At 35.1% G+C, this 25,745-nt stretch overlaps 1 protein-coding gene across 15 annotated transcripts in view; it reads left to right on the plus strand.

Annotated features, from left to right (window-relative positions):
- TTC6 (tetratricopeptide repeat domain 6) overlaps nucleotides 1-25,745 on the plus strand; it is a 247,089-nt gene that overhangs the window by 122,134 nt on the left and 99,210 nt on the right. For 13 of the 15 annotated variants that reach the window (XR_007064009.1, XR_001750287.2, NM_001310135.5 and 10 more), the window contains 4 exons: nucleotides 7,136-7,240; nucleotides 18,159-18,248; nucleotides 19,898-19,972; nucleotides 21,014-21,393. Coding sequence is in view for 13 of the 15 variants with exons in the window: in NM_001310135.5 (NP_001297064.2) it covers nucleotides 7,136-7,240; nucleotides 18,159-18,248; nucleotides 19,898-19,972; nucleotides 21,014-21,393 (650 nt within the window). In the remaining 2 variants the exon portion in view is untranslated. Of the gene's footprint in view, nucleotides 1-4,337; nucleotides 4,421-7,135; nucleotides 7,241-14,662; nucleotides 14,746-18,158; nucleotides 18,249-19,897; nucleotides 19,973-21,013; nucleotides 21,394-25,745 lie in introns of those variants that run through there. The other 2 variants (XM_011537431.3, XM_047431336.1) reach the window with 2 other exon arrangements.

Raw genomic sequence — 25,745 nt, forward strand, 5'->3', positions numbered from 1 at the left:
AAGAAAGAAAGAAAGAAAGAAAAATGCAGACCAGTATCCTTGCTATGGTTCAAATGTTTGTCTCCTCCAAAACTCATGTTGAAATTTAATTGTCGTTGTAACAGTATTGAGAGGTGGGACCTTTAAGAGGTGATTAGGCCCTTATGGGTGGGAAGAATGCTATTAGAAATGGGCAAGTTCAGCTCTCTTTTTCCGTTTTGGCCTTTCTGCCTTCCACCATGTGAGGACACAGTAAGAAGGCCTACATCAGATGCTAGTGCCTCGATCTTGGACTTCTTTCCAGCCTCCAGAACTGTGAGAGAATAAATTTTTATTCTTTATAAATTACCCAGTCTCAGGTGTTCTGTTATAGCAGTGCAAAACAGATTAAGACAACTCCTTATAAATATTGGTTATAAAAATCCTTGACAAATGTTAGGTCATAGAATTAAAAATACGTAAAAAGAATTATCCACCAGGACTTTAGGGAATTATTCCAGAGATTTGAGGCTTTCTCAGTATTGGAAAGTCAATCTACTGTAATTCATCATTTTAACAGAATAAAGAAGAAAAATTGCATGATCATATTAATCAATGAAGAGAAAGCATTTGACAGATTTCATCACCCATTTTCATAATAAAAATTTTCAGAAAAGTAGGAATAGAGGGAAACTTCTACAGCTTGATAAAGAGCAGCTGCAAAAACCTACAGCTAACATAGTATTTAATGGTGAAAGCCTGATTGTTTCCCCACACCACTCTTATTCAACATAGTGCTGGAAATTCTAGGCAGTGCATTAAGGCAAGAAGTGGGAAAAAAAAGCTTGCAGACCAGAAAAGAAGCAATACAGCTGCCCGTATGTGCAGATGACATGACTGTCTACATAGAAAATTCTGAGGAATCAGCCGGGTGCAGTGGCTCATGCCTGTAAGCCCAGCGCTTTGGGAGGCCAAGGTGGGCAGCTTGCTTGAGCCCAAGAGTTTGAGACCAGCTGGGGCAACATGACAAAATCCCATCTCTACAAAAAATACAAAAATTAGCTGGGCATGGTGGTGTGTGTCTGTAGTCCCATGGCCTTAGGGCTTTCTGGGAGGGTGAGGTGGGAAGATAACCTGAGCCTGGGAGGTTGAGGCTGCAGTGAGCCGTGATCATGCACTCCAGCCTAGACAACAGTGGGATCCCCATGTCAATAAATAAATAAATAAGTTCTGAGGAATCTGTACAAGAAAAATCTCACAGAACTAATAACTGAGCTCAGTAAAGTGACAAGATACAAAAAAAACCATGAATAATTCATTATATTTCTGTGTGTCTACAGATGAACATGTACTGAAATATATACTGATATTAAAACTGTATCATTTATAATTGTTAAAAACTGAAATAATCAAGTGTAAATCTAACAAAACATGTTTAAGAGTTAGATGCTGAGGACTACAAAATGCTGATAAAAGAAATAAAAGTGATCTAAGTAAATAGAGAGATTCCCTGTTTATAGATTGGAAGAATCAGGATAGTAAACATGTCATTTCTCTTCAAATTGATATACAGATTTAAGCAATTCCTGTCAAAATTCCAGCAAGGCTTTTTTTTTTGTACATGTAAACAAGAGTATTCTAAAGTTTGTATGGAAATGCAAAGAAAGTAGAGCTAAAATAATTTTGGATAAGAAGAATAAAATGGGAGAAATCAGTTTAGCTGACTTCCTGACTTACTATATTACAGTCATTAAGATGGTGTGGTCTTGGTGGATGGACAGGCCTGTAGATCAATGGGACAGAGTAGAAAACCCACAAATGGACTCCTACAGATATGCACAACTGATTTTTTATAAAAATGCAAAAATTATTCAATGGTGTAGGATAGTCTTTTCAAACAATTGTTGCTCAATCAGTTGTACATCCCTTAGCCAGAAAAAGAACCCTGACCTAAGTCTTGCATCCTATAAAAAATGTACTTAAAATAATAATTCATAGACACATGTAAAATATAAAACTATTAAACTTGTAGAAAAAACATAGGAGATCTTTGGGATTTAGGGCTAGGGAAAGCATTCTTACACTTGACCCCAAAAGCACTATTTGTAAAAGGAAAAATAGATAAATTGGACTTCATCAGAATTAATTTTTTTTTTCTCTACAAAAGACCCTGTTAAGAGGATTAAATACAAGCCACCGACTCGGAGAAAATATTTTGCAAAACACGTATCCGGCAAAGAATTAATATCAGAATACATAATGAATTTTCAAAACTCAATATAAAAATATCTAACTGGAAAGTGGGCAAAACCATTAATAAACATTTCACCACATAGGATATATAGATGGCAAAGAAGCATATGAAAAGATGCGCAACATCATTAGCTATTAGGGAAATGCAAATTAAAACCACCATAAGATATTAGTACAGAATGGTTAAAATAAAATAATAGTGATAACACCAAATGCCAATAAGGAAGTGGAGGAGAAATAGGATCATTGATATATTGTTTTTGGGAAGGTAAAATGGTACAGCCCTCTAGAAAGCAGTTTGGTAATTAGAAAAAAACCCAAAGTATGCATGCAGTTCTGTAAGATAAAGTGTCTGTCCAGGCATGCATACAACCCAGCAATTGCATGCCTGGGCGCTTACCTTACAGAAATGAAAATTTATAATTACATTATAATTTGTACACAAAATTCATCACAGCTTTATTAATAGAAGCCAAACTCTCTGTGGGCTTCTCACAGTGTACCCATTGCCAGAGTAAACTGCAGCCTTGAACCATTGCTCAGCCTCCTTACCCATGAGCTATGAACACTGAAGCAGGTTGCACAGTGAAAAAAAAAAAAAAAAAACTCAAACAGGAAACACTCTGGATAACCTTCAGTGGGTTAAGAAAACTGTGGTACATCCACAGATGGAATACTAATCACCAATAAAAAGGAATTAACTATTCATACATGCGATAACAATGAATCTTAAGAGAATTGGGCTGAAAAATCCAATTCTAAAAGATTACATACTGTGTAATTTCATTATATAACTTCCTCGAAATGACAAAATTATACAAATAAAGAATAGAATAGTGGTTTCCAGGTTTTCAGGATGGGGGTTAGGATGAGTATGACTTTAAAGGACAAGATGGATCACTTGTGATGATGGAAATGTTTTGTAGCTTGACTGTTTCATGTCAACATGTTGTTTATGATATGGTACTATGGTTTTGCCTGATGTTGTCTTTGGGCTAAACTGGATAAAGGGAAGATGGGATATCTTTGTATTATTTCTTAAAACTGCCTGTGAATCTACAATTATCTCAAAATAAAAATCCTAATAAAGAAATTATGGTCAGTGGAACAGAAAAAAAAAAAAGAAAAATAAGAAAAAAAATGTAGCCTCAGTTAAAAAGATAATTGTTACATGATGATTTGTACAATAAAAAAGCTTGTTGCAATTGAAATCTGAAACTGTATTGATGACTTTCATACTTTATTATGTTAAAATCTATTGTTTTATCTTGTACTTTGAATGGCTCTTTTACTCATGGATTATTTCAAATAACATCACACATTGGTTATTTGGAAAATACTCTTCAGTTATTTAACTCTTCAAATGTTGACACATTTCAGTATAATACACAATATCAAAATAGCTTATTTTTAAAATTGTCAGAAAAGTTCTTTAGCATTGGGAACCTTGCAAAATCATGGTAAGGGACACATGTTTTCCAAAATTCTAATTTTTGTTCAAAAGCTCAGTTTTTTTCAGTGTCACAAATACACTCGGGTGTTTTATTTGAAGTGACCAGTTTGCTTCATCCCTTTTCAAGAAAAATCTTGCCATATACCCAACTCTCAATAAACATGGTTTGATGTTTGTTTTCTTAAATGAAAATGGAGGCTAGTTCAGTTCACAACTCAAACAATAGCACACATGCATTTCCTCCAAACCGCCATCATACTTCACCATGGCCACGGATATATTTTGTTTGTATTTCTCATTTAATCACATTAAATATTAAGATGTGTGGAGATTGAATAAAATTAAAATTTTTCCTTCTTTCTGGTGGGCATTTTTAAGGTGCTGCTGTCTTGATTCATGCTTTGGCACTGTGAGTTTCACCATATATATATATATATATATATATATATATGTATATATACACACACACATATATACACATGTATATATGTATATATATATACATATATATATATTTTTTCCCCCTCAGTGCAAATGTTAACATAGTGAAAAAGGCAAATAATCTCCCCCAGGGTCTCAGACTACATTTTGAAAACTGATATTCTGCCTTAGGTTTCATTTAAATGAAATTTACCTTGACCCTGAAACTAATTTGCATGTCTCTTTCCCTTAGTGAACAGAATACTCTGACCTTGGGTCATCAGTATGAACAAGAGTTATTGCATCAGCTCGTAGTATGCATCATGGCCTTAGGAGGTATGCAGGAACTGTTAAACACAAATTAACCCAGGATGCAGAGTTAATCATTCAGTTTGCTATGCAACAGCCATTGTCCTTTCAAGTTCTGGCAGCTACTACCCCTGTTGCTTCTAATATTTTCCTAGGACTCTTCTCAGAAAGTTCTGAGCATTGCTGTGGGAACCAATTTACCATGGTTAGTCTTATTTACTAGTTTAATTTAATAAATTCTCTCCTGAAGGTGCATCTGTACTTTCCCTTGAGAGCAGACCTTCAGGGCTCGAGTGATCCTCCCACTTCAGCCTCCTGAGTAGCTAGGACTACAGGCACATGCCATTACACCTGGCTAATTTTTAAATTTTTTTGTAGGGTCTTACTATGTTGCTCAAGCTGGTCTTGAACTCCTGGCCTCAAATGGTCCTCCAGCCTTGGCCTCCCAAAGTTCTGGGACAGGTGTGAGCCACCACACCCAGCCATGATGTTTCTCTGATTTGATTCGATTATGTGATTTTTGGAGGAAGACCACTGAGTTAAAAAGTGCCATTTTCATCAGGTATCGGGTATATACTATCGACATGATTTATTAATGTTGATGTTAACCTCGATCACCTGGCTAGGTAGTGTTTACCAGGTTTCTTCATTTAAAGTCTGTCTTTTTTTCCCCTTTCCATATTATTCAGAAGAAAGTCACCATACACAGCCACACCTAAGAAGTGGGGGGTTATGCTCCACCTCTTTGAGGGTAGAGTGTCTACAAAAATTTATTAGAACTCTTCTATATAGGAAGTGTGTCTATTCTTCTCATTCATTTATTTACTCAGTCATTTATTTATATCAGTATGATTTGTGAATATTTACGTTATACTTTGAGTTGTAATACAGTACTACATTATTATTATTAGTTTTGATAAAATTATTTGATCTTTGGCCATTGGGAACTCCTTCAGATGGCTTCTATGTCTCTTTTGACACCCTATCATTGTGGGATTTTTTTTAGAACACTTTCTTAATTTTTGGCAGTATTAGATATTCTAGGTTCATCTTGCATATTTCCTGCCCCAGTCCTAGAATCAGCCATTTCAACAAGGAGCCCTGGGTCTCTTTATTGGGGAATATAATTAAAAACTAAGATCCAGGCAGTAGGTGTGTTTGTTTCTACTGGGCATTGTTGCTTCTAGGTCTTGTCAGCTGTCAAAGCAAGGAAATATATGTGTGTACACAAACTTGTATAAATAAATACATGTATCTATACATATTTCTATATGTAAACATCTGTATCTATAGTAAGCTAAATATGAGTTCTTACTGATGCATCCAACTCTAATCTACCTCATGGGTCATTCTAGTTTCCTTCCTTTTTTTCTACTGCACTTCTACTCCAGCAGTGACAAACCAGGCTTCCATAATTCTCCCTCAATTTATTAAATTTTTCAGTGCCAGTGCACGTGCATAGAAGTATCAGAATTGTTAATTCATAATCCTGTGGGATACAACTTTATTACCTACTGTATAATGCTATGTGCACAGTTCCTTTTGCCTTTGGTTTTATGTACACATTTCCAAAGTAACTTTTCCTCCCACCCCCTTGGGTGAGATTGTTTCATACGTTTGTAATACAGTTAGATTGTTTTATGACATTCTGCATTCCATCGTGGGATTCCTCCTGACCTCCTAAATGATTTTAAAAAATTCATATTAAAGGAGAGATCACGCATATTTAGGGTGGTATGGCTGTAGGCATAAATTTACATTACATTAAAATTCACCCCTTGTGCTTCAAAGTTCAATGGGTTTTTAAAAATGTATAATGTCATGTAGCCACAATTCCAGATCATACAGAAGAGTTTCACATCCCTAAAAAAAAATCTCCTAGGCCTGATTAATTTTTATTTGGAAAAGAAATACAGAAACCACACTAGCAAACACCTGAGAATATGTTAGTAAGATTTTGGAAATGTTAACATTTTGTCATACTTGTTTCATGTTTTTTAAAATAAAAATTTAAAAATTATTAAATTAAGGCCTTTTGTACTTCTTAATTCCATTTCTCTTCCTCCCTACCCAGCAGTTACTGGTACAATTATAGTAGTTTTTCCAGTCCATGAGTTTATACTTTACTAGATGTATTCGTGAGCCTAACCAATAAATAATACATTTTTTGTGTTTTCTGGATACATTTATATAAATGACATAGTTTTATATGATTCTTTCTAAAACTTGCTTATTTTCTTCTCAATACCATGCTTCTAAGATCCATCTCTAGATCATAATTTTTGTGTTTTAGTGTGTTTTATAGTGTTTATGAGTATACCACATTTTATTTATGTTACTCTATTAATGGACATTTAGATTTGGTTTAATTTTTTATTTCATATGCTCTGTGAATATCCCATACTCATCTCCCCATGCATGTGTGCAAGAATTTGCCTACACTATATAGCTGGAAGTTAAATTCCAGGAAGATGTGGCACGTACACTTTCTACTCTACTAGATATGGCCAATTGGCCTCCAGCGTGTTCTACAAATTTCCCCAAGTCCTTAGCATCAGTTGGTAATGCAGACTTTTACATTTTTGCTAACCTGATGGCTGTAAAAAAATTCTTATCCATATTTTCAGAAGCTGTGGAACCAAAAATTCTCAGCAACTAAAAATAATTTTGACAGGAGATTGAGTTTTTACTCTCAAGGCCATTTCTTACCATTTCTAATAACCTTTTATGTTATTTTCAAAGATGTATGCTTATCCAGAATTCACGAAGTTGTTTTGGAATACAGCTGCACCTAAATTCTCTGTTCCAGAATCTGTCATGAAGGAAACTCTATATCCAAAATATGAGGTAACATACCGAATGGGTTTTCTCTATTATTGTTGTTGTTATTATTTAATAAATAAATTGTATAATTGGCTATGACATTCAATTTTACTGGCCATTTATGTAAATTACCAGTTATTGCCATAATTAGGATTAATTGGATGTCACTACAGAAGTTATTTATATATGTAAATAATTGTATGTATGTATACAAATATATACCTACATACTTATAAATTTATAATTTTATATGTTCATATGTGTGTGTGTATATATATACATGTATATATGTATATATATAAAATTTATATATGTATGTATGTGTGTGTGTGTGTATATATATATATATATATATATATATATATATATATATATATATAATTTTTTTTGAGATGGAGTTTTGCTCTTGTTGCCCAGGCTGGAGGGCAATGGTGCGATCTTGGCTCACCGCAACCTCCGCCCCCTGGGTTCAAGCAATTCTCCTGCCTCAGCCTCCTGAGTAGCTAGGATTACAGGCATGTGCCACCACACCTGGCTAATTTTGTATTTTTAGTGGAGATGGGGTTTCTCCATGTTGGTGAGGCTGGTCTAGAACTCCTGACCTCAGGTGATCCACCCAGCTTGGTCTCCCAAAGTGCTGGGATTACAGGGATGAGCCACCATGCCTGGCCATAGTTTTATATATTATGTATGTATATTTAAAAAATGTTATACTTATCCATGTGACTTTAGCTAGTTAAGAAGAATATTCTGTTTTCTTTTTGAAAGAATGTTTTATTTGATTGAGAGTTCAAGATATAAAGCTACTTCAGTTGTTTAGAGATCTTCATGGTATTTTCATTTGTTTTTAAAATCACATTTTAAATTAATTTAATGTTAAAAACATTTAATAATACCCAAATGTGGTAATCTTTTTCCTTCCCTTAAAGAAGAATGATTACTCTCATTTTATGTTATACTGATCATTTTAAAAATTAGAAAAATGAGGAGAAATAAAACAAAATAACCTATTATTCTTCTCCCACAGAGAATTGCTGCCCACTTTTTGGTTCATTTTCTTTGGTTTGTAAAAATTCTTCTCCTTCTTCCTCCTCCTCTTTTCTGCTTTTTCCTTTTTTTTTCTTGGTTACAATATTTCAGTGATGAGCATCATTGTACATAAATTTTTAGTGGCATTCAGGATTATTTTATTTGCACAGCGTTGTAGGCAGCTTATGAAAACACATATATCAGAAAAGGATAAAACAAAAAAGTTAAAGAAATTGTGGGGAAAACATAACATGAGTAATAGCATAATAAAGCCAGAGGTAAGATTAATATGAAGAAATTCAGTTCATGTATGCTGTTGCTTGAAATGGGGTCATCAATTTATCTCCTAGCTTTCCTGCAACCAAGGCATGGATGGAGTCTTGTTCATATTTAACCTGTTGATACTACGTGTTTAGAATGTTAATATTGAAATATCTTTGCATTTCTTGGATTACTTGTTCATAGTGTATTATTGTTAAATATTATGTTGAATTCTGTTAGGCCATATTTTATTTTTAATTTTAAATATATACTCATGGGTGAAATATCTGTGTAGTGTATTTTTTTTTCCCTTTGTTGGACTTTGCTATCAGAGCTCTTCTTTATAAGGTTAACTGGATAGCATTTCATCATTTTTAATATTCTGAAATTGATATGGCTTAGGAATAATGGAAAAGTTGGAAGAGCTCACTGTTTGGACTCATCTGAGCCATTTGGTAAGGTAATTGTTTGATAATTAAAATTTTTTCTTTTCTAATTCTTAGCTTATTCATATTTACTATTTTTCTTGTCAATTGGCAACATATTCCTACAGTAAGCTATGTATTTAGTTGAGATTTATAAGTTATGTACATAGAGTTGCATATATTTTGTCAGTTTTAATATTCCTTTCTAATATTGCATCATTTTCTTTTTCCTTTCTGATGGTGTTTCTGATATTTTTTTCTTAGAGTAGAACTTTTAGAAAGTAGTTTTTTCTTTTTTCATTTGTTTTTAAATTGAATACTTTCCCTATGTTTGTCAGACTAGTATACTCATACCAGTATAACACCATCCCTTTTATTTTATTTTTTTAGAAAGATATATAATACATAATTCCCTGGCTATTAGATATCGTGGCCAGTCAACCAGAAAAACACATGAGTTTAACCCACCATCTTTGACCAAAAACCTTTTGTATTAATTATTAATTCAATGTTGTTACTTCTCCCTTTTAACATATTTTTGATTATTGGCTTTCTGCTTTCCATAGCATGTTGACATTCTATGTTGGTATTTTTCTAATTTTTTTTTTTTTTTTTTTTTTTGAGACAGTCTTACTTTATCACCAGGCTGGAGTGCAGTGGTGCGATCTTGGCTCACTGCAACCTCTGCCTCTCAGGTTCAAGCAATTCCCCTGCCTCAGCCTCCCGAGTAGCCGGGACTACAGGCGCACACCACCATGCCTGGCTAATTTTTTGTATTTTTAGTAGAGATGGGGTTTCACTGTTTTAGCTAGGATGGTCTTGATCTCCTGACCTTGTGATCCGCCCGCCTTGGCCTCCCAAAGTTCTGGGATTACAGGTGTGAGCCACCACGCCCAGACTCTAATTTCTTTTGCTGAAAACTTAATTAATTTCTTCATGTTTCTTCTTTTTTTAAAAATAATATAAGTAATTTATGAGTTTTCTTCTGTGTACTTGACCTTATTTCAAACCTTTTCATTTGCAGTGTCTTTATTTATTTTCAAAGTAATTTCTATTGCAATTTTCCTTTTCTTTTTGATACACCATAGTGTTTAAACATTTTTTAAAAACTCGTTGGAATTATTTTGTTTAAATTTTATTCTTAATCCTTATTAGCGTAAAAATATATTCTTCAAAATACCAGTTTCTTGGAATTTATGGATATTTGCTTTGGGTTGTGCTAGATATCCCAATATCTCTCAGTTAATTCAGTGGTATTATTTGTTATCACTTTGATATTGTGGCCAGACTAAGCAGAGCACACCTTAGGAATCAGATGGTCTTGAATCTGAATTCCACTTACTTCCTGGGTAACCTCGTACTATTATTTTAACCTCATGAAGTCTCAGTTTTTTTTGTTTGCCAAGTGGGTCTTTTGAGGATTTAATGAGAGACTATATGGTGCATTGCTCGATAAGTAGTAGGTGCTCAAATAATAATAGACTTTATTATACTGTAATATTGTTACATTTTATGTGGCATATTTATTTCATTTGATCTCATAAAGACTTTAATTAAATATGGATTTTCAATGAAGTTATGCTTTGTCAGTTTTTCCATGTGTTAGCCGGGCATGGTGGCTCACGCCTGTAATCCCAGCACTTTGGGAGGCTGAGGTGGGTGGATCACTTGAGGCCAGGAGTTGGAGACCAACCTGGCCAACATGATGAAACCCTATCACTACCAAAAAAAAAAAAAAAAAAAAAATTCTCCACTTGTTACTAACAGTTTTACTTTCTGTGATTAGAAGATGTTTTGTCTTTATTATGAGTTTTGTCTCTTACTGATTTGAAATGGTCCAGTTTGGCCTATTCAGTGCTTGAATTCTACTCTAGTATGTCTAGCCCTGTGTTCTTTTCTCTGTGTTCAGAAATATTTTTAGGTTAATACTTCTTATTGTTTTTGTTTTGTTTTGTTTTAGAGGTGCTATATAAGTAACATATGGTGTTTTGGTCCTACTATTATTATTTTATTTTGTGGTTTCTGTTTATTTAAAATTTCTGTTCTCTTTTGTTAACTCCCTACTGTCTGTGCTGTTTTCAGAGTGGCAAGGGCTATTACAATTACTTCAGAAATCACACTAGTGGTATGTGAATGCTTACTTGTAGTAAAAATTCAAACAATAAAGATGAATATGACATAAAGAGCATTCCCCCTCCTTAATGCTGTCCTTCTCCAGTTCTCTTCTCCCTGAAGTTGGCCATTGTTAAATGCATTTCGTATATCCATTCAGACATTTTCATTGTCATTTATGTCATGCAGGTGTGTGCAAATTCATACTTTTACATTTGTGGAGTTGTAATTTATATTATTCTACATCTTGGTTTTTTTCACTTAAAATACTTGAATATATATATCTTTGCACACATATGTGTATTTTTCTGTTTGGAATTCCTAGTCAAAGTGTATGTATATTTCAAATCTTAGAAGATTATAATATATATTTGCATTTTTTAATAATGCAGTCTAACCTTTTCATTTACTTAAGAAAATACTTACATATTGTTTTTGAAAAATATGTCATGAGCTAGAAAGAGAAAGTTAATGATATAAAGTGTATTAAAAGATTGCCTTCATGCAGAAGATTGGTGAATATTAATTTGCATAAGTCAATATGGCATCCGTGAAAATATGATGCTCACATCTGCTTCAAGAAAATCTGCTGAGGGGGCATACTTGACTGGTGGCCTCCAGCTGCTGTCCCGCAGACCTAACATGGCATTTGCTCCAAGGCCATGCTTCCTTGGGGCTGCTCCCAGCCAGGGACTGAGCACAAGGTGGTTGCTAGAGCAGATGCATTCCTGCTTGATTGTGATTGCTTTCATGGGCAATTTTGGCTCAGGGACTTTTCATCAGCCTGGTTGAATCTTTCTTAGAACTGCTCCGTGGTCTGAAGCTCTTTCTACCTAATCCTTCCTCTCTCATCCCCTTTCAGAGATGTCAAATCTGCATAATGCTCTGAAGGTTCCCCCTGCCTACTCCTGCACCTTCTCATTTTATCCTATACTGTTGGCGTCTACTTCTACTTGAGCTGACACAGTAGGGAGTCTGTAATATGAGTGCAATGTTTTTTAAACTATATGTTTGTTTACAAAGTATGGGCATATATTTTTCTATCTATGTTTATAGGAAAGTGTGAATGTAGGGAGTTGAAGGTAGGCAAAATTGTTTTAAAAGAAGTGAAATTGTAGCAGGAATAGGAAGAATTAGTGAGAACTGGTGACCATGGAGTAACCCATTAGAAAAGTAGTCCGAAAGAAAATCAGTACTGGTGGTTGTCCACTCCCAATGACCAGGAGAGAAAGGATCCAACAGTACTTTCTGGCACAAAAAGATAGCTCAAGCTCACCTGACATTTTCATTTCACCGGAACTGGCATTGACTCTTTCTTCAAAGACTCCTGGTTGTGGTGAATGGGAAATGATATTTAGATGCACAGATCTATGTGCTCTTATTTTTAAAAAGCAAATTTAACTTATTTTTTGTTTGATGCTGTCTTTTTTATTTTCACCTGTTATTCCTTCTCTTAAACTTATATTTTTCAGTTTTCCTTTTTAAAAAATAAAATTCAGTAGTCTGGATATAATATATTCATGATTTTACATTTTCATGGTTATTTAAAAATATCTGGCATGTATTTAAGCACATCAAGAGTCAATCAGAATTTATATCCTTTCCATGAAGGATTGGCTTTAAAATGTTTCACTTTACTCCCATCTGCCATCTGCCACATTGGAGACCATTAAATATTTTTGTTCCTGATAATTTTAATGTTCACTCTGTGCATCAATAATTACATAGATTTAACTATGTTTTTCTGACTTTCTTTCCACAATTTCTTCTGTCTTACATCATTTCCTTTCTTCTAATCATTTTTGTTTTCCTTATTATATTTTTGACTAATTCTTTCTGGAAAGGTTTGTGTGGTAAATTTTGGAGTACTTGTATTTGTGGATGTATATTTATTTTCCTCTGCCTCTTGCATTCCAATTTGATGTGGCATAAAATTCTGTTTTTCTAATTACTTGCCAGGCAGCCTCCAGTCATGTTGATAATAAGTATTCGGACACTATAGTTCTCATTCATCCCACTTGGAACTTCTTGGTCTTGTTTAAAATGAAGACTTAAGTCTTTTTACATGTCATTTTTCCATTCATTCATCAGATAAATACATGCCAGTCACCTCTATGTGTGAGCCACTGTTCTAGAGGCTGGAGCTGCAGCAATGAAAATTCAAGGTCATTAATTTCATGGAGCTTACATTTTAGTATGAGGTACAGATACAATAAACATGTACAGTAGATTCTTGTCATTTGTGGTAGTTATGTTCCATAAAGTCACCTCAAGCACTGAATTAGTTGATATTGAACTGTTGCTCTTAGGGGAAGTAGAAGGCGAGGGTCCTGTGAGGCTCTGGTTTTCATCAGCTGATCAATACGTAACCTTGCTTTATGGGCTTTTCTGTTTAAAGACACCTTATTTAATATATATTGTTGATTCATTGCTACTGAAGTCATAGCTGACAGCACTATAACTCATGCCTGAAAGAAGCTATGTAACACATTTGTTTTCTCTGTAATGCACATTGCAGCCTTCTTGCACTTAGGAACACTAGCCAACACTTCAGCACTATACTGGGGACCATTTTAAAGAGCAAAATCACAAACCAAAAGCACAAAAATATGAAAAACACGACACTAAATAGGCCTTGAAAAGGAAACTTCTTTACAGTACGACAGTTGAAACAAGAAGGCAGAATGACATTTTGCTCAACCTCAGCTGGGTGTTTAAATCTGCCACTGTGGTGTAGATTTGTCTATATTTTCCTGTAATAGTGTCAATTTTTACTTTATATATTTTGGGGCCATGTTATTAGATGCATACAAATGAAGGATTGTTAAACATTGTTTATGAGTCAAAACTTTCAGTAACGAACTGAGCTACTTTATTTTAGTAAACACTTTTACCTTAGAGTCTATCTTTATTATTAATGCATTGACAACAATTTTCCTTCATTAAATATTTGTTCCCTTACACATAACCTTTCTGTATTCTTATATTTTAGATGTGTCTTTTATAAACAACATGTGATTAGATGAAAACAAATACAGTTGGATTTTTTTTGTTTTTTAATTGGACCTATTTAAAATTTACATCTACTTTTTATTGTTATTTTTATTTTCTTACCCATTGTATGCTTAATTTTTTGCCAATTATTTGGGTGTATTGTGTTTTATCATTTCTGTTGTAAAAGTTATATATAATTGATCCTTGAACAATGTGAGGGTTGGGGGTGCCAATCCCTGCACAGTTGAAAATTCATGTGTAGCTTTCAACTTTCCAAAAACTTAACTACAAATAGCTTATTGTTGACTGGAAGCATTACTGATAAACAGTCAATTAACACATATTTTATGTTATGTGTATTATGTACTGTATTCTTTTTTTTTTTTTTTTTTTTTTTTTTTGAGAGAGAGTCTCACTCTGTCACCCAGGCTGGAGTGCAGTGGCGCGATCTAGGCTCACTGCAAGCTCTGCCTCCTGGTTTCACGCCATTCTCCTGCCTCAGCCTCCCGAGTAGCTGGGACTACAGGAGCCCGCCACCACGCCTTGCTAATTTTTCGTATTTTTTAGTACAGATGGGGTTTCACCGTGTTAGCCAGGATGGTGTCGATCTCCTGACCTCGTGATCTGCCCGCCTTGGCCTCCCAAAGTGCTGGGATTACAGTCGTGAGCCACCACGCCCGGCCTTATGTACTGCATTCTTACAATGAAGTAAGCTAGAAAAAAGAAAATGGTATTAAGAAGATTATAAGGAAGAGAAAATATACTTACTATTAACTAAGTGGAAGTAGACGATCATAAAGATCTTCACTTTGTTGTCTTTTATTTATTTATTTTTTTGAGACGGAGTCTTGCTCTGTCGCCCAGGCTAGAGTGCAGTGGCACAATCTCGGCTCACTGCAAGCTCCGCCTCCTGGGTTCACGCCATTCTCTGCCTCAGCCTCCCGAGTAGCTGGGACTACAGGCGCCCGCCACCACGCCCAGCTAATTTTTTTGTACTTTTAGTAGAGACGGGGTTTCACCATGGCTTCAATCTCCTGACCTCGTGATCCGCCCACCTCGGCCTCCCAAAGTGCTGGACTTAAAGCGTGAGCCACCGGGCCTGGCCTGTTGTCTTTAGTCTTTATACTGATTAGGCTGAGGCAGAGGAAGAAGAGGGGTTGATTTTGCTGTTACAGGGGTGGCAGAGGTGGAAGAAAATCTGTAAATAAGTAGATTTTCTGAACCCATGAAGTTCAAACCCATGTTATTCAAGGGTCAACGGTATGTTTTACTTATTCCTGTGGCTGTTTCCCTAGAATATGCATCTTTAACTTATTGATATCTAATATACATTAATACCTTTATACTCCTCCAGGAAAATACAGTGACTTCAGAATCCTTTGATTCCATTTACCCCTTCTTGACTTACGCTTTTACTTTGATAGATCCTTAGCTTTTAAAGTCCAAACTAAATTTTCATTTTATGTAATATACCTTAAATTTTACCCATATATTTATCTCTTTTTTTGGCTTTTCTTTTTTTTCCTCGCATGTCAGACACTTATATCTGGAATCATTTTACCCTCTGCCTAAATTGTATCCTATAGAATTTGTTTTAAGAGGAGGGGTAGAAGGTCTGCAAGTTGGTGAAAACCCTGGTTTTTCTTAGTTTCAAAATGTCTTCATATAATTTCATTCTTGAGGAATATTTTATCTGAGTATAATATATTGGCAGATGTTTTAACAGAGTAATGATGTTCCATTATTTTCTGGCATTCATTATTGCTGTTGAGAAGTAAGTCTTAAATGTAAAGACTTTGAAGCTAATGCATCTTCTGCTTCTCCTAAACCTGGCTGGTTTTAAGTTTTTCATTTGCATTTCCTATAGTTTCACTATGATGTGTCTAGGTGTGTATTTCTTTTTATTTATCACATATTGAAATCCTTTGAGTTTGTAGTTGACATCTTTCATTAGCTATGGAAAATTTTTAGTAATCTCTATCCATTCTCTATTTCATTTTCTGGGACTTTAATCACATGTATTAATTACCTTTTTTTCTCTTGTGCTTGGTATTGGATTCTGGACAATTTCTTCTAACCTGTATTATAGGTGAGGTCCACGAATTCTCTCTTTAGTTGTGTATAATATATTGTTAAACTTGTTTTTTATATGGTTCTTCTTAGTATTTCTATTTTTCCCTAAATCTGTTATGTTATGGTGTTTTGTTTCTTTGTATACCTGTCTGTCTTTGAATGTTTGCTTACCATTGTATTTAAAACATGATTTTAAGGAAACATTTGAGACTTAGAATGGCATTATGGCATTTTCTTCCTCCAAAGGACATTTTTGTTAGAAACTGGGGTCTTTACTATTCAGAGACAGCTTTAATCTAAAGTTGAGGCGTGAGTTTCTCTGACTACCCTCGTGATAGAACCCAGACTAAAAGTCTGCATGAAAGTTGATTCCTTCCACCCACTTTTAATCTGAGGGTGTACCCCTGTGGTATTCCAGTTTATATATAATTGGGATGTATTATCAGGCTCCACATCTCAGATAGATTCTGGGCTTAGATTTTTTGTCACCCTTGCCCCAAGAAATTGCCAAATCTGCAACTCAGAGTTGTAGTTGTTTTGGCAAACATACTGAGAACAAAGCATCTTTGAATAGTAGGCTTACCTTTTCTGGTACCTTGTCTTTTCTCAGATTTTGGCTCGTCTTTTCATCTTGTTAGCTCTGTGATGTTTTGACCATTGTTTTTCAAATTATATGTAGCTCTCAGTTGTCCTCAGCAAAGTTCCTAATGTTACCTAATTAGAAGCAGAAGTCATTATTGACTTTTAAGGAAACTGTTTCCATTTCTGTTTGCATCCCAGCTTTTATTGCATGCATACCAATTTCAACAATATCTTTGGGGTAGAGTAGGAGGATTTTTTTTTTCCATTGCATATCATATAAGTAACACTGTAAGTGCCCTCTCAAGACACCTTAGTTTGGGCATTATTTTGACAGTTTCCAAGGCTCCAGCATATATGTTCTTTTTTTAAAATAAGCAACCATTGATTGTTAATAAGTTCCACAGTTTTGATATCTATGAAGCACGGTACTAAGGTTTTTGTCCTTATTGTTGTTAAAAGCATTCTTTTAAATATGTAATATCTGCTATTCCATCATATTTCAATATCTTGTGTAAGCATATGACAAAATGGTTTGAAAATCCCTGGTATACCATGTAGTTTGTTTTTAAAGAATAATGATGAAAGTGACCAAGTATCTTTCTATTATGCCCAGTAATTATCTTACCATACATTGTGCTATCACTACTTTCTGAAAATATAACTTGAGAGGATTTTTAGCAAAAACTCAATGCTTGGTGATTCCTAAGTTACCCATAGCCTTCTCCATCGTCGGTAATAATTACATAATATTTTTAAAATCTGACTTTTTATTCAATAAATATTTTTAAAATTTGTAATGTTAGTGTTTGAGACCTAACAATTTAAAAAAGCAAAGTAGTAGTATGATTTAATTAATCATTAATCTACCCGGGTGTCGAATTTAGGTCTTCTAGGTTTCTGCATGTCCAAACCACTGATTACAAGATAGAGAAGTAGCACATTTAATAATAACCTTAATCATAGTGGCAGTTTACTCTTACAACAATAAATATATCTACATACTTAACCGATAGAATTCAAAGTATAAAGCACTTAAGGCAAATTTCATTCCAGTTTACATTTAGAATGATTGCTTGTATTTAAAAATGAATATTCATGTGTTGACAAGAAAACTAGATATGTCTTGTTCATAATCCTGATATTAATATGCTACATAAATTCAGTGTTAACCTATGAGATCATAGGATCATTGATCACTCCTAAGATTAAGGATGCCAGAAATAGTGTGGAAGTAACCATTTTGCTAAATGCCAACACTGAAGCCAAATTGCAGGTTTTGGCCAAATACTAAGGCTATAGCTGGACTTTGATGCATCTCTGGTAAGTGTTTTCTAGAATTATACTACTTTCATATGTTTTCTCTTTGGTTCTTTTGTTAATAATGTTGTACTATGAAGTAACAGTCATCATAGGCTTTTAAAAAGTATTCCAAAACATAATTTAAAATTGTTATCTTTTTATCACAGAGTGTTCAAGCAAGCAGACTTTTAACTGATAAATTGTCATATAAAAGCAGTGTCATTACTTTACATCAACATAGCAGAACAAATTTTTGGGTATGTACAATTTTTGTTCTTAATTAGGATTGTTTACTCTATCTGCCTACAGTCCAGATATTAATTATGGTAATTCCAGAAATTATTTCTTGGGGCCAGGCATGGTGGCTCATGTCTGTAATCCCGGCATTTTGGGAGTCTGAGGTGGGCAGATCACTTGAGGCCAGGAGTTACAGACCAGCCTGCCCAATATGGTGAAACCCCATCTCTAGTAAAAAAACAAAAAAATTAGCTGGATGTGGTGGCACGTGCCTGTATCTCAGCTACTTAGGGGGCTGAGGTGGGAGGATGGTTTGAGCCCAGGAGATCGAGGGCAACAGTGGGAGACTGTCTCAAAAAAAATTTTTTTTTTTCTTAGTACTTCTTCATTTTGGAAAATGGCTCAGACCATTCAGTGCTATCCTTGCTGAAGATACATTTCTACTTTCTCAAATATGCTGTTTTTATGACTGTTAGAAGATGTTATTCACTAATCAATAGCAGGATATTTGTTGTGAGTTTTTCTAACATTTCTAGTTTTTTCACTCATTCTTGTGTAGGTCTTCAATATCAAAGGAACATGTTTATGAGTCTTTGACTAAATGGAGAAACTGTGGCCATGAAGCAGAGTAAGACTGATTGCTTTAAACGGTGATCAGATGCATAATCATGACTTTTGGTATAACTAACTACAGTGTATCCAATGACCTGAACTTTATGGGGTACAATTAGGACATGGTTTTATTTTTCTCTCACTAGTGCCTAATATAGTCTTTTCTTTTTGAGACAAAATCTCACTCCATCTACCAGGCTGGAGTACAGTGGTAAAATCATGGCTTACTGCAGCCTGGACCTCCCGGGCTCAAGTGATTCTCCCACCTCAGCCTCTTGAGTATCTGGGACTACAAGTGTGCACTACTATACACAGCTAGTTTATTTTTTATTTTTTTAGAAATGGGGTCTCACTATGTTGCCCAGACTGGTCTCAAAACTCCTAGGCTTAAGTGATCCTCCTGCCTCAGCCTCCCAAACTGTTGGGATTGCAGGTGTAAGCCACTGGATCTGGTCTAGATGTTTCTTTATTGCTGTTTGCATCATTATTGTGCTTAAGGACATGGAACATAGCATTTTCTTTGTACTTTGCACTCTAGTTTAGTAGAGCTTTCCAACTCTTAATATAATAACACCAGTCTGGGTGTTATTATAGTAAGTGGTAACACTTGCGTGGTTTCCTGAACTAAAAGGTTGAGATTGCTCATGATTAGAGGTGACTGTCCAGGGGCTCCCACTAATGCAGCCCCAGGGTTAAGGGGATTCATGGCTCAGCATATCTGTCACACATTCACACACACCAGTGCCACCTACACCAGCTGGGTAGCTTTGCACTATACTACCTTGTACATAGCAGGTACTTGGTGTTTGTTATATCAAGTTGAATTTTTTAAAAAAACATAGTTTTTATTATTATACACTTTTCTACATTAATTCATAGATTTTAAGTTCTCTTCCTCTATATAAAGTCAGTGACTTCAAACTCAGTATCTGTATTTTAATCAGTATTTCTGAATTTCATTAATTTACCTAAACAGTTATTAGCCAAGTATTATATATTTTAGCTTATCAGATAGTATCTGTGACTAATGTATATTTTTCATTTGATTATTTCACAGTGTTTCTTACCAAGAAAATCTGCATCATTTGAAAGTATCCAAAAATGGTTTAGTGCACAACCTACACAACTAAGGGTATTATAATTTTACAGTTTTTACTCTCTAAAAGAAACATTTATATTCCTAGGAATAATAATCACCTTATTTTTTTTTAAAAGCATCTACTTCTATATTATATTCTCTAGTCTAATTACATATTGAGTTTTATATAGTTTCTTGAGATGGGGGAGTACAGTAAGTTGCAGATGGTCAATATCTCTGTTGTACTTTAGTACATATCTTAAAGTACATAACTGGCTTGTATGAAATTATTATGTTTGAAATTTGGGCCAAAATTGACTATAAAGAACTACATCTGTATAACAAATTATTTATTAGCAAATGAAATGCATTTAACTTATTGACGATGGCTCAATAGGCAGGAAATGCTATATCAAAGGATTTAAAGTAATTTATCTTGTGTAAGTAATGAGTATTAGAGTTTCAAGTATTAATGCATAATTATTAAAATTATATAATTATTAATGTTATAATAAATAATATTATTAAAAATTAAGCTGATTCTCTAATGATTAGATAAAATAAATACTGTAATAGGTTGGGATTCTGTTACTTCCTATTATAAATATTAAATTGAAAGTTATTATGGAGAATATTTGAATGGTATTGTGTAGAAATTCAGTGTTGTTAAAGCGCTTTTGAAAGAAAACCCAAATTGATTTTTATGGAATAAGGCATTTTAACAGCTTTTGCCCCTTCTACCAGTTTTTTTGCATTAAATATAAAAGTACAGCATATAATTTATTTGGATATATAGAGAGCATTCTCTTTCAATTAAAATATAGAAAATCATAATACATATCTAATTTATAGTGCTGTTTACATATATCTAATGAAATGTCATATGACCAACCAAATTATTGTACTTTGCTTGAACTAACCCACTATTAACTTTATCAGCTGACTTTTGAATAATTTTAAGAATACTGATTTTTAAACTTTTAAATTAAGTGACCAAACCACATTAATAGTAATTGTAACAGAATTAATTAATTTTGAATGCATAGCAACTAAATTGATTTTACGTTTTTTCTACCTCTTTGCTTGCTTACTAAGCGAGTAAAATCTTCTGTAGACTTGAGGAAGGAGAAGATCATAGCTCCTTTGGAAATCAAGAATGATATGCAAAGCAGTATAAAAGAGGTTATGTTTCAGAAAGCAAAGGAATTGAAACGTCAGCTCCAGCTCACTAAGCAAAATAAAACTGAGGAGCCCAACTATGTGAAAGAAAGTATAGATGACATCTTTGATAACATGTGCGAAAAACACAGTTTGAGAAATCTCTCTTTGACTCTCATTGAAGCGTCTAAAAAAGCTGGCATTAGTTACATTGTTTATCCCAAGAAAAAGAAGATGAGATGGAAGAAAAGATTGAAACAACAAAAACTTATATTCGTGCATGAAGAGTTATCCAAGCCTCCAAAATCTCTTGAAAGGTCTTGTTTAAGTGATTTTCTTATAGTTTAAGAAATATATTGTGGTTTTGACCTTAATTTTATAATCTCACCCCATGAAGTTATTATTTTATTCTGCACTGAACATATGAACCTTTCACTCTTTGAAAGACAAACCTCTGGCTGGGCGCCGTGGCTCATGCCTGTAATCCCAGCACTTTGGGAGGCAGAGGCGGGCGGATCAACTGAAGTCAGGAGTTCAAGACCAGCCTGGCCAACATGGTGAAACCCCTCTCTACCAAAAATACAAAAATTAGTTGGGCATGGTGGTGTGTGCCTGTAGTCCCAGCTACTCAGGAGGCTGAGAAGAGGTTGAACCTGGGAGGTGGAGGTTGCAATGAGCTGAGATCAGGCCACTGCACTCCAGCATGGATGACAGAGTGAGACTCCATCTTAAAAAAAAAAAAAAAAAAAAAAGAAAGACAAACCCTCATTTAAAAATATATGGATATCTCTTAGTATAAGTATGTGAATGATTCAAATGATAATTTAAATAGGGGACTGATTTAAGGACATGAGGTAAGACTAAATCAATTTGATGGCTAACTGAAATCTTCCAGAAAGTAAAAAACCCAAACAAGTTATTTGAAGTGATTTAGTAACAAAAAACAACTCCTGCTCCACACAAATTCTACTCATTCAAAATAGATATTTAAGTATTTTTAAATTTTAAATTATTGAATTGAGTTATAAATCTAGATAATTTTGGGCCCGGTGCAGTGACTCACCCTTGTAATCCCAGCACTTTGGGAGGCTGAGGCGGACAGATCACGAGGTCAGGAGATCGAGACCATCGTGGCTAACGCAGTGAAACCCCGTCTCTACTAAAAATACAAAAAAATTACCCAGGCGTGATGGTGGGCACCTGTAGTCCCAGCTGTTCGGGAGGCTGAGGCAGGAGAATGGCGTGAACCCAGGAGGTGGAGCTTGCAGTGAGCCGAGATGTGCCACTGCACTCCAGCCTGGGCGACAGAGCGAGACTCCGTCTCAAAAAAAAAAAAAAAGTAAATAATTTTTTTAATATTGTAAGCTCTTATTTAGGAATCAACACAGAAATAGTTTTTTCCTTACTTGAAAGTAATAGTAGCCAGTATATTTAAAATTATGTAGGGACCTGAAATAATAACCACTGAAATTCCAAATGTGTTCATTATTAAGTATTCAGGACATAACTTTCTTATAACAAACATATTGTGCAAAATAGTTTCCAAAAAGATCTGAGGTTTCTTTTTAGATATCCCCAGACATCACAAAATTTATTAAACTTGTGTCCTTTTGAAAAGTAAAGACTTTCCTGATGGTAAGAGAATAAAAAAAATTGTTCACTTTATAGTTATAAAGACTTGCTGTCTGTAAAAGAGTTAATTATTTCTTGAAATGGTGACTTATTGTCCTTGAGAAGACTGGGGCATAGTACTTCATAAGTGTGAATGACAGAGTGGAACAGAGGCCAACCATAGCGGAGAATGCCATTCAAGTCTCGTGTTCTCTGTATACTACATATGCTTAAGTTTTGTCTGCAACAAATACAGTATCTGGAAATTTTTTTGTTAGTTCATTTGTAGGAGACTGCAAGTAGGTTTTCTAAGTTGATAAATGTTTTAGATCAGAACCAGAAGTTTGCTTATACATTTTCAATACATTTACTGATTTTAAAGTATTATGAATCTTCACCATCCTGGAAAGGGTAATGCACACAGCACCATTTTGGCCACAACCTAAATGACTTCTATCTAAAAAAAGGATATAAACTGATCAAATGCTGCTTCTGTGGGGTGTGGTCTTCTTACTGACCTTTTATCATTCTGAATATTATAAAGTTTTACCATTTAAAAAGATTTCTTTGCCTTCTAATAACTGACTCTGAAATTTGTATGTGCTGCCAATGGGTGTAACAGGAACCATAGGATGAACCTTTTGGTGGAGGCAGTAAAACAAACTGTGGGAGTATTGTTAGTACAGCTTTCCTACCTTTTTAAAAAAATCTTAATTCAAACTAATTCACCACATATGAATGTAGATATGAATTGTTCAAAACTAACAACTATGGAGCAACTTGAAAAATAATTTTGTTCCTATACTTTGAGACTTTTTTCCCACTTTTTTTTTTTTTTTTTTTTTTTTTTTTTTTTTTTTTTGAGACAGAGTCTCGCTGTTGCCCAGGCTGGAGTGCAGTAGCACCTCGGCTCACTGCAACCTCTGCCTCCCAGGTTCAAGTGATTCCCATGCCTTAGCCTCCCAAGTAGCTGGGAGTACAGGCGTGTGCCACCACACCTGGCTAATTTTTCGTATTTTTAGTAGAGACAGGGTTTTGTCATGTTGGCCAGGCTGGTCTCGAATTCCTGACTTCAGGTGATCCACCTGCCTCAGCCTCCCAAAGTGCTGGGATTACAGGCATGAGGCACCGCGCCTGGCCTTTTCTCACTAATCTTAATTTGATAATTCACAGATGTGCTTCTTACCATTTTATGTCCAACCATAAAGGTTATTTCATCACACCCATTCTTGGCTGGCCTCCCTTAATGGTGGGAAGCAGACTGCGTATGTTCTTATACATCAAGTTGAATTATGGCTGTGGAAAGTCACTCCTGCAGAAAGCTACTGGAGCCATCTCACCCAGATTCATGCATTTCCTTTTATCCCCTTAGCCCTGTTGCTTCCCTCCTCAGCTAGGTCATGGTAGGTTGCCAAAGTTTGCAATAACTTCGCAGCTTCATTGTTTCTCTAGAAGTTTCCCTCTGCTTTGGTCTCTGAGCTCAGTGTTGACAGAGCAGCCTGAGGGTGTAGAGGAGACCTTCCTCAGTAGCTGGCTGACCCACAGTGACCTCTTCCTATTGATGAATAGTGGCTGCCTTGACTCCCTTGTACCCACTGCCTTACCTCCTATGTGGGCTTTTCTGAATTGCTAGCCTCTTGATCTCTACCAACGTTCTGTCTTCCAGGACTGAGTAATATTCTTCATCTGAGATCCAGGCTACCAGCCTGTTTGCCAATGGCGTTCCTATCCCTCTGAATGCATCTTCTTGTGCCCCTTTCTAGAATAATTGTCCTTAGTCTTAACTCACTTGACCTGCTCCTGCGAGTGACCCTGTGGTCTCAGACCTGTTTTTCTTGGCTCATCTTGTGCTGCTGCATTCCTCAGAGAAGCAGAATTTATTTTCCTCCAAGCAGGAGTTGTTATGTTTTCCTTAGTTGTTTTATCCTTCCACTTTTTGGTTTTGTTTTGTTTTTTTGTTTTGTTTTTTTTGTTTTTGAGACATGGTTTCATTTCCATTGCCCAGACTGGAGTGCAATGGTGTGATCTTGGCTCACTGCAACCTCTGCCTCCCAGGCTCAAGGGATTCTCCCACTTCATCATCTCAAGTAGCTGGGCCTACAGGTGGGTGCCACCAAGTGTGGCTAATTTTTGCATTTTTTTTTTTTTGGTAGAGGCAGGGTTTCGCCATGTTGCCCAGGCTGGTCTTGAACTTCTGGTCTCAAGCAATCCACCCACCTTGGGCTCCCAAAGGGCTGAGATTATAGGCATGAACCACTGCGTCTGGCCATCAGGCCTATTTTGACTTTCATTTATCACTCTGCTTCTCTAAAAGCTGGCAGCAGTGATGTTCTAGGAGCAAGAACTCTGGATCAGGAATTTGTATACATCCATATCCCAACCTTCATTCACTAGATCCTCAGTGACTAGGCCGAGCTACTTAATTTCCTTGAATATTTGTTTCCCCATCTAGAAGATGAATAGCCTATCCACATGATTTCTGAAGTAATGTCCAGCTCAAATATCCCTTGATTTGGGTAGTAAAATCGTCCTTATTTTTATATCAACGATATATTGAGCAAAACATTTGAACTGTTCAAAATTTCTGTTTCCTTAAATTGTCTTACATCTCATCTCAGATTAACTGTATGTATACATATTCCAACCCAAAGGCTTGACTTTCTCAGACTGGAGTGATAGCTAGCAGGTTAATTTACTCCGGTTCCTCCAAATGAAAAACCATGAACCATATTCATGGCTATGAAAACATGATTTAAACTTGCAGTACAGGAAGAAATACTTACCTTTTGGGGTAGATGTAAACAGCCAGTCCCCTCTTTTATCATGTTCCTTTTCTTTGTATTACTTACTTTCAGTGATCTGGGACTATAATTCTTCTTCATAAAAGTTCATCCACGGTCTGCATTTCCTTTCCTTTTTACATCCTTCTAGAAAGTTACATAGCAAGATCTTGTTTCCTTAAAAATATTGTACTTATGTTATTAATATTTGATAGTAAAAATAATACATGCTCATTGTAAAAACTTAGAAAATACAGCAATGCTACCATTGAGAAATA

Source organism: Homo sapiens, chromosome 14, assembly GCF_000001405.40.
Source record: "Homo sapiens chromosome 14, GRCh38.p14 Primary Assembly".
Classification (NCBI taxonomy): Eukaryota; Metazoa; Chordata; class Mammalia; order Primates; family Hominidae; genus Homo; species Homo sapiens.